We start from the raw sequence: 10371 nt of genomic DNA on the forward strand, positions 1-10371 counted from the left end.
TTAACTAGGTGTCCTGTATTGTTATTTGCTAAGTCTAGAAAACCTACTAGACAACAGATTTCAAATCCTTATGGTTAATGTTTGCTTGTTTTATATAGATATATATTTTTGAGACAGGATCTGGCTATATGACCCAGGCTAGATGGCAGTGGCACAAACACAGCTCACTGCAGCCTCACCTCCTGGGCTCAAGTAATCCTTCTGCCTCAGCCTCCCAAGTAGCTGGGACTGCAGATGTGTGCCACCACGCCTGGCTAATTTTGAAATTTTTTGTAGAGGTAGGGGGTAGCACTTTGTTGCCCAGGCCGGTCTTGAACTCCTGGGCTCAAGTGATCTTCTCGCCTTAGCCTCCCAAAATGCTGGGATTACAGGCGTCAGCCACTGCGCCCAGCCCCTTACAGTTAATTTTTGAAGTCTATTGAACAAATCAGTTCCCTTGATGCATGATTATTTTTTTCTTCCTCATATATAATCATGTGTATTTTTTCTGTATAGAAAAAGTATAAACAAAGAGAAAAAACTGCACTAAATCCCACTACCAAAGATAACTACCATTTGTATTTGAAGACATTCCCTACGTATATGCATATAAGATTTATATATGTAGTTTTACATGCATATGAAATCATACCATAAATGCTTTCTTGTAATCGTGTTTTTTGCTGTTTATGTTTTCCATGACTGCCAATTTCACTGCCTGTTCAGAGGTCTGACTTCCATAAAAATCCCATTTACTTACCATTCCCGGGGGCCAGCAGTACATGGGCCACATATGCAGATGATTAACTGGTAGTTTGTTTGTTGTTTTTATGGCAAATCACATAGCACAGGCTTACAGAGGGTCCTCCCTTGAGAGCACAAGCCCAGAACCTGTTATCTAAGCCCTCCACAGTCTTGAAAAAGAGACACAATTTTGTGAGGGATATGTTCATGTGAATTGGTACTTACTAGGCTTTATTTCATCTCATACCAATTTTGTTCCAGAAACTTCCTAGAAAGCTATGAAAACATGAGACAATGACCATGGATATGGTATCTGGGAGAAGTACTGATTACGTAATGCAGTCTTTATTTTTTATTTTTTATTTTTTTTTGAGGCAGAGTGTCACTCTTGTCACCCAGGCTGGAGTGCAGTGGTGCAATCTTGGCTCACTGCAAGCTCCACCTCTCAGGTTCAAGCAATTCTCCTGCCTCAGTCTCCTGAGTAGCTGGGATTACAGGCGTGCGCCACCACGCCCAGGTAATTTTTGTATTTTTTGTAGAGACGGGGTTTCACCGCGTTGGTTAGGCTGGTCTCAAATTCCTGAGCTCAAGTGATCCACCCACCTCAGCCTCCCAAAGTGCTGGGAATTATAGGCATGAGCCACCACACCTGGCCCATGCAATGCAATCTTAGCAGCTGAGTTCAACATTTATTGAGCAGCTACTATCAGCCAGACACAGGGTTAAGCACACAAAGCATAGGAAGACCAAGAAAATGTACCCCAGCCAGGGGAAGCTTCAATTTACCAAACATAATATGAAGTAGACATTCATCTATGATTCTACCACTCAGAAATACTATTATTAACATCGATCCAGATATAAGAATTATAATACCCAGCACTTACAGAGTTTTTCTTCTTTCTTTCTTTTTTTTTTAATAGAGACAGCCTCTCACTAGGTTGTCCAGGTTGGTCTCAAAGTCCTGGGCTCAAATAATCCTCCCACCTCGGCCTCTCAAAGTGCTGGGATTACAAGAGTGAGCCACCACACCCAGCCTGCAGCTCTTATTTTATAGAGACTTTAAGAGTTTAAATAGTCACTTATGAAATCCTCAAAATATTATTGCAATGTACAATTTGTATTTCTATTGCACAGATGAAGAAACTGAGGCAAAGAAAGATTATTTAACCTGCCTTAAATTGCATAGTTGCAATGTGGTAGGGCCTCGATTCAAAACCAATGTCTCTCCATAGATGAGACAGAGAGAGAGAGAGAGAGAGAGAAGAGGAGAGAGATGACATTGCTTTGGAAACCAGACTTTGAAACAAATAGCATACAACACTATGTGTCAATCACTATCCTGAGTATTTTAAATATTATGATTTATTTTATCCATAAAGTTAGCAGGTACTGCTTATTTCATCCAGACAACTTAGTGACCACAAGTGACTTTAAGAACTTTAACAAGAGCTAGACTGCCACGACAACCGGGGTTGCCCTGCATTTCATCAGAGCTTCTCTACATTAGGGGGTTCTGCCTCACCTGAAAATCAAGATCCCTTAAATGAAACTTTTCAAGTCTGCTTTCCCAGCCTTGAATGTCATGGTCACACCTGAAGTCGTTTATCTCTGGACCCATCTCCTGGAAGGTTTAGGCATGATTGATAAATGCCTATGCACAGGTGAGCAACAGCCCCAGATTGTTAGCTGTATAATTGCATCCATACACCTGAAAAACGTGAGCAATTTCGCTCCGAGCTCTGAGGTGGTTTCGTATGAGCAGATTTTCAAGTGATGCCTGGGAAACTTTGAGAACACAATTGTCAGCCCCGGGAGAACTGAGCACCACCCAAAGGGAGGTAGTCCCGGGAAGGGGCGCTGTGCAGACCTCCAGGACCCAGCGGTATCAGCTGCCTTGAGCGGGTGAAGCTCCATGGTGAGTGTGCCAGAGCACAGCTTTAATTTCCTCTCATCCGTCCCTTTCTCTTGGGCAAAATGAACCATAAAGTTTATATTCACTTTAGTGTATACATTTTAAATATACCCTATAAACCACAGGAGTAATGAATTCAAGATGCCCACATCATAGTAATTCTGCATGCAAGCTGTGTTTTATGATTTGTATCCAGCCTTTTTAGGATTTTTCAATAGGACCAGACTCCAGACTGCAGGGAAATGAAAAGAAGGATAATGATGTGAAGTTTCACGTCACCGCTAAGTTTCCAGCACTGTTGTCCTGTAGTCACCAAGCGGGTGCATTTTTTGTGTGCGGTGAAGTGAGTGGATTGTCCCAGGCTGAGAGATGCCCAGGTAGGAGGGACACTTGGCCTTCCTGTGCTCCTTCCATTGGCTCTAGGTGTCCCCTGTGGGTTGCGATTGGTCATGTGAGCAAGCGAGCACGTGGGCTTGTGTACATTTCTGCATTTCTGGGATAGCCCTGCCTTGCAGGTGCCAGAGAAACACGTGCTTCAGAAGGGTCAGATTGGTCATGCATCTGTGCTCAGATTGAAGGAGTGGCCTCCCTGAAGAATTCCAGCTTGCAGAGGCACTTTCAAAATGCAGTGAGCTCAGGTTCCAGGAGCTGTTACGGCAGTTTTTGTCTCGACACTCCGTTCCCCTGAATTCCACTTTGGGAAGAAGGGAAGAAGCCACCATGGGCCAGGCAGGCGACAGAGCAAGCCCTAGCCAGATCGCAAGCCATCAGAGCCCTGTTCCTTCTCTCCAAAGTGGGCTTCATTTACCCCTCTTCAAGCAGCAGGACAGTCTGTTCAATGCAGGGGAGGCTTTAAGACATGGGGGCAGGGAGGGGTCATATTTTTGGCCTCGCTCCTGCTCTGCGGGCTTTCTCATGAATGCAGACCAGTGTGCACGAATGTGGCCAGGACACATGCTTTTCGCTCAGAATGCTCACTTGAAATGTAAGGATCTCTTGTTCCCTGTAACTTTAGATGAGGTTTCAAAACACAGAATCCATGCTGGAACCGCCAGGCCAGCAGCGGGAGGTGGGCTGTCTTCAGAGCAGATGGAACAAAGGATTGGGTTCCCAAGTTCTTATGGTAAGACAAAAGGGCAAGATGTCAACCCAGGACCACCCAAGGAAAATTAAATACAGATCGACTTTTGATGGTTTATGTTAACAGAGGGGAGATGGGGTTTTGATCTTGAGAAAAACAAACATCACAAACTCTACCGTAATCACTGTTTCTCACACCCTACAATAGAGTAGCAAGAACTGCTAGGTAGCCACAAACACACAAGTGGGGTGGGAGCTTCTGTTTCTTCTGCTGTTTAGTGTGCCTTCCATGGGCTAGCGAGCGCGGGGCAACATCAAGAAAAGGCACCCCAGGTTTCCCAGCCAGCCACTGATATAAGAGAAAAAAATGGGTCCTCCAGCAGTCAACTCCCCTTTCTCAACTCCAGATCTGGGATCAGAGGCCCTCCTGGCTCAGTCCTGGATCAGGGGCAGCCCACCCACCGACACCTCTCTCTCAGCCACAGCAGCGTCCATCACATCGGAGCTCCTACGCAGCCTGGGATTACAGGTGGAATGAACATCGCTAACTCTATTCTCAACCCAAATCTTTTTCTAGCTTTTTAAAAAAATGCATTATGAGGCTGGCACAGTGGCCCACGCCTGTGATCCCAGCACTTTGGGAGGCCGAGGCGGATGGATCACCTGAGGTCAGGACCAGCCTGGCTAATATGGTGAAACCCCATCTCTACTAAAAATACAACAAAATTAGCTGGGCTCAGGGGTGGGCGCCTGTAATCTCAGCTACTCAGGGGGCTGAGACAGGAGAATCACTTGAACCTGGGAGACGGAGGTTGCAGTGAGCCGAGATCAAGCCATTACACTCCAGCCTGGGTGACAGAGCAAGACTCTGTCTCAAAAAAAAAGAAATGCGCTAATGAAAAATTTCAAGCATCCTCAGAAGCAGAGGACATTCTACAATGAACCCGAGATTCAGCAGTTACCAAGATTTGCCACACTTCTTCATCTATCCCAATTTTCCCCTTTCTTTACAGCAAATTCCAGATATCATGTCATTTTAGCCCCTCATCCTTCGGGACGCATCTCTAAAAATATAGACATTTTCTTAATTTCAATGTCATTGTCACTCCTAAAAAATTAACAGTAATTCCTTGATATTATCTAGATCACAGTCCATATCAGATTTCCTGTATTTCATAAAATTGTCTCGATTAGTTGGTTAAGTTTCCTTAGTAGCCAAGAAAGATCTGCACATTTCATGTAGTTGTGATGCCTCCAGGTTCATCTTTCCTGCCCCACTCCTTGAATCAGCCATTTCTCTAAGAGTCCTTGGTTCCTTTTATTGGAAAATGGTGTTAGAAACTGAGCCACTGTGTCTGGCTCTTTCATTTTTATAATCCCAGCACTTTGGGAGGCTGAGGCAGACGGATCACCTGAGGTCAGGGGTTCGAGACCAGCCTGGCCAAAATGGCAAAACCTCGTCTCTAGTAAAAACACAAAAAATTAGACAGACATGGTGGTAGGCGCCTGTACTTGGAAGCCTGAGATGGGAGAATTGCTTGAACCTGGGAGGCAGAGGTTGCATTGAGCCGAGATCGTGCCATTGCTCTCCAACCTGGGCAACAGAGAGAGACTCTGTCTTAAGAAAAAAAGAAAAGAAAAGAAAAGAAAGAAACTAAGATCTAGTCCTGTTGCTATTGCTCAGTTATTGGGGTGCTTGTTGCTATTGGGGTGTTATTGCCTCTAAGCCTTTCAGCTGAGAGAGCAAGGAAATATATGTCCATGTACTATATTTGCCTATGTATATCCATATATCTAAAAATAGTTCTGTATGTACATCTATATCAGTATTAAGCTAAACATGAGTTATACTGATGTCTCCAATGCTAATCCAGTGCCATCTGGATCATTCTAACACCCTCCCTTGCTTACCTGTAATCTCCCACTCCAACAGTGAGAAAACTGGCTTCCAACAACCGTATTTACCCTTGACTTTTTTTTTTTTTTTTAAGATGGGGTATCGCTCTGTCTCCCAGGCTAGAGTGCAGTGGTGTGATATAGCTCACTATAGCCTCCAACTTCTGGGCTGAAGTGATCCTCCCAGCTCAGCCTCCCAAGTAGCTGAGACTACTACTACACACCATCAAGCCCAGCAAATTTTTATTTTTTGTAGAGATGAAGTGTTTCTTTGTTGCCCAGGCTGCTTGATGTCTTTCTAACCTACATCCGCCCTCCAAAAAAAATCACTACAAAATCCATTGTAAGTTATTTAAAACAAAAAAGGAATTTATTGAGTTTCTTTTTTTTTTTTTTTTTGCAGTGGAGTCTCACTTCGTTGCCTAGGCTGGAGTGCAGTGGCGTGATCTTGGCTCACTGCAATCTCCACCTCCTGAGTTCAAGGGATTCTCCTGCCTCAGACTCCTGAATAGCTGGGAATACAGGTGCCCACCACCACACCCAGCTAATTTTTTTTTTGGAATTTTTAGCAGACATGGGTTTCACCATGTTGGTCAGGCTGGTCTCGATCTTCTGACCTCAGGTGATTCACCCACCTCGGCCTCCCAAAGTGCTGGGATTACAGGCGTGAGCCACCACCTGTATATTTTAAAATATACTACCAAGATTTCCGTGGGAGTCCAAGAATCAGGTGTGGGGCTTTGCAGCTAGCACCACTCCGGACCAATTATGCACAAATGTGGCAGGCCATGTGTTTTTCATTCAGAATGCTTAGATGAAATGCCGTGCCAGGCCCGGGCACTGCCAGTGTGTGCCAGAATCTCCACCGCCACTGCCCCAAAGCCAGGCACCCACACCACCCTCTCACAAGAGCTGTTTCCTTGCATTACCCTCTTTCTAAATGAAGTCTCGGCTGGGCTCGTCTCATTGACAGAGCCTGTGTCAATGACAAAGCCCTAACCCCAAGGGAAAGTGAGTTTCCTGTTTCCTCCAAGGGAAGTCAAGATTCACAGTGCATGAAATTCCCCAAAGAGAGGAAAACTGTCCAAAAGATGTTGGGTGGCTATTTTAAAAATTGTACAGCCAGAGGGCTGGGTGCGGTGGCTTATGCCTATAATCCCAGCACTTTGGGAGGCCGAGGTGGGCAGATCACCTGAGGTCAGGAGTTCGAGACCAGCCTGGCCAACATGGTGAAACCCTGTCTCTACTAAAAATACAAAAATTAGCTGGGCATGGTGGTGCATGCCTGTAATCCCAGCTACTTGGGAGGCTGAGGCAGGGGAATTGCTTGAACCCGGGTGGTGGAGGTTGCAGTGAGCCGAGATTGTGCCACTGTACTCCAGCCTGGGTGACAGAGCGAGACTCTGTCTCAAAAATAAGTAAATAAATAAGTAATAAAAATAAAAATTACAGAGTAGGATTTTGTGTCAACCAAAATCATTCCTAAGAATCTGCACGGGAATCACCAAGCCCAGAGGGTACTCTTCAGGCTTTATCCTCTTGGCCTCATTGTGCTATCTATGGGTGGGCTCAGGGTTCCTACAGGAAACTTGTTGGAAGTCTCACCCCTGACTACAGCTACAATTCTCTCGCCTTTCCTCTTACTTTGCAGGTCATTGTTTCTCAGCCTCTCATGGACCCTTCTTCTTACACACCTTTTATATATATTTTTTCAATTATTTATTAATTGAATAGGTAATACACACATGGTACAAAACAAAAGGTAAAAAGGGGTGTATAGGCCGGGCATGGTGGCTCACACCTGTAATCCCAGCACTTTGGGAGGTTGAGGCGGGCGGCTCAAGAGGTCAGGAGATCGAGATCAACCTGACCGACATAGTGAAACCTTGTCTCTACTAAAAATACAAAAAATTAGCTGGGCGTGGTAGCGGGCGTCTGTAGTCCCAGCTACTCAGGAGGCTGAGGCAGGAGAATGGCGTGAACCCAGGAGGTGGAGCTTGCAGTGAGCCAAGATCGCGTCACTGCAATCCAGCCTGGGTGACAGAGCAAGACTCTGTCTCAAAAAAAAAACAAACAAAAGGGTTTATAGTAAAAGTTAAGACTCTCTTCCTTACCATCCATGTTATTTCTCTCCCCAAAGACTGTTACTTTCCTATATTTTCTTCCAGAGATATTTTATGCATATATAATCAAAAATATTCGGCTGGGTGCGGTGGCTCATGTCTGTAATCCCAGCACTTTGGGAGGCCAAGGCAGGCAGATCACGAGGTCAGGAGATTGAGACCATCCTGGCCAACATGGTGAAACCCCGTCTCTACTAAAAATACAAAAATTAGCTGGGCCTGGTGGCATGTGCCTGTAATCCCAGCTACTCGGGAGGCTGAGGCAGGAGAGTCACTTGAACCAGGGAGTCGGAGGTTGCAGTGAGCCGAGATTGTACCACTGCACTCCAGCCTGGCAACAGAGCAAGACTCCATGTCAAAAAAAAAAAAAAAAAATTCATAATTTTTCCATCCAGCTTCCAGAATGAAGGTATATCATGCTTTACACCTTCAGTCTGTATTTTGCTTCTTTTATTTAATTATATATCCTGGAGATGTTTTAATAGCAAAGCATGTAGAACAGCTTAGTTTTTGTAAAGACTGCCTTGTAGTCCATTGTATTATTAATTAGTTATGAATTAAACTAGTCCTATATTAATGGATGATTGTTTCAAATCTTTTACTTATTACAAACAAAGCTGCAATGAAGAAACTTGTATATCCACAATCTTGTACATGTGCCAGCACATCTGCAGGAAAATTCCTAGAAATAACATTTCTGGGGCAAGGGGTATGCACATTGCAAATTTTGATGAATACCATCAATTACTTTCCATAAATGTACTAATGTGTATTCCCACTAACAAAACATGTGATAGTGTCTCTTCCCCAACCTCTTGCCAACACAGTCGTTACCAGCTTTTTACCTTTGCCAATCTAATAGGTAACCCATGTGACCTCATTTTAGTTTTGTGCCTTTGTATATCTTGTGTTATAAATCAGGTAAAGCGTCATGTTAGGCCAGGCATGGTGGCTTAACGCCTGTAATCCCAGCACTTTTGGAGGCCGAGGTGGGTGGATCACTTGAGGTCAGGAGTTTGAGACCAGCCTGACCGACGTGGTGAAACCCCGTCTCTACTAAAAATACAAAAATTGGCGGGGTGTGGTGGCGGGCGCCTGTAATCCCAGCTACTTGGGAGGCTGAGGCAGGAGAATCACTTGAACCCAGGAGGCGGAGGTTGCATTGAGCCCAGATCACACCACTGCTCTCCAGCCTGGGCAACAGAGCAAGTCTTCGTCTCAAAAATAAATAAATAAATAAATAAATAAAAAGCATCATTTTACCTGACTTCAGCCACAGAAGAGGAGATACACTGGTTTTCCTCTTCTGTGGTTTGTCTCTTTGTATCCTTTGCCACCTTTTCACTGGGAAGTTAGTAATTTATATTGATTTATAAGAATTCTTTATAAATTAAGGAGATTGTGCTAGGTGAAGATCTGGAAAAAGGGCCTTCCGGGGAGGGGAGACAGCCAGCACAAACCCAGGACCAAGCAAAATGTGTCCTGGGAGCAGGAAAGACTCATGATGTAGCACACCGAGAGAAGCCAAATGACGTCCCAGGGTGGAGGCCACGTCACACTGTGCCTGATCACACCGTGCTGTTTTTCTAACTGCAATGGGAAGCTGTTAGAGAATTTTAAGCAGAATCCGCTCAGGAGGATTTGGATCTGGCCACCTGCCAGATGGTAACATTTATTAAGATGGGGAAGATGAAGAAGAGGATGATTATGACGGGAAAGCCTAGGGAGGGATAAAAAGTTCTACTTTCAATGTTTTAACCTGGAGATGCCTGTCAATCTGCCTTGGAGAAGTCCAGCAGACTGGTGGATTTCTGAGTTTCGCATTCAAGAGAATGGTCAGTGCTACAGATAAAATTTGGAGTCATCAGCATCTGAATGGCATTGACAGCCTTGAGGCAGGATGAAATCACCAAGGGTGAAAGTACTGAGACAAGGGACTTCAACCAGAGGAGGAACCAGCAAAAGAGGCAATGAGATAGGAGTAAAGCCGGGAGAGAGTGGTGCCCACGGAGCCAAGAAAAGGTCATGCGTCTAGAGGAAGGGGTCAGCCACTGAATGCCATAGTGAAACCAAGTCGATGAGGATTGACCACTGGTTTAGGCAAATGGGGATCAGTGGTAACCTTGACGATGGTAATTTCAGTTCTCTGGTGGAGATGGAAGCCAAAGGGCAGTGAGTTGAGGATGGAGTTGAGTAGAAACAGCACAGATAATTCTCAAGAACTCTTGCTGTGCAGAAGAGCAAGGGCAAAGGATTGGGGCAGTTGCTACAGGGGAATATGGGTTCAGGGCTTTTTGGTTTTTGTTTGGTTGGTTTCTTTTTGTCTTTTTTTTTTTTTTTTTTTTTTTTTGAGACAAAGTCTCACTCTGTTACCCAGGCCGGAATGCAATGGCGCAATCTCGGCTTACTGCAACCTTTGCTGCCCGGGTTCAAGCAATTCTCCTGTCTCAGCCGCCCGAGTAGCTGGGATTACAGGCACCTGCCTCCATGCCTGGCTAATTTTTGTACTTTTAGTAGAAACTGGGTTTCGCCATGTTGGCCAGGATGGTCTTGAACTCCTAACCTCAGGTGATCTACCTGCCTCAGCCTGTTGGTTGGCCCAAAGTGCTGGGATTACAGGCGTGAGCCACCACA

General features: G+C 45.0%; 2 annotated features.

Moving 5' to 3' along the window:
* Positions 5937-6437: an enhancer, noted in NCBI's record as "H3K4me1 hESC enhancer chr6:151485034-151485534 (GRCh37/hg19 assembly coordinates)". NCBI's record gives its function as "activates a minimal SCP1, AML or CMV promoter by ChIP-STARR-seq in primed H9 embryonic stem cells {active_cell/tissue: H9 hESC(primed)}" and the evidence as "EXISTENCE:reporter gene assay evidence [ECO:0000049][PMID:30033119]".
* Positions 6438-6938: an enhancer, noted in NCBI's record as "H3K4me1 hESC enhancer chr6:151485535-151486035 (GRCh37/hg19 assembly coordinates)". NCBI's record gives its function as "activates a minimal SCP1, AML or CMV promoter by ChIP-STARR-seq in primed H9 embryonic stem cells {active_cell/tissue: H9 hESC(primed)}" and the evidence as "EXISTENCE:reporter gene assay evidence [ECO:0000049][PMID:30033119]".

This window comes from Homo sapiens, chromosome 6, assembly GCF_000001405.40.
Source record: "Homo sapiens chromosome 6, GRCh38.p14 Primary Assembly".
In the NCBI taxonomy this organism is placed as follows: domain Eukaryota; kingdom Metazoa; phylum Chordata; class Mammalia; order Primates; family Hominidae; genus Homo; species Homo sapiens.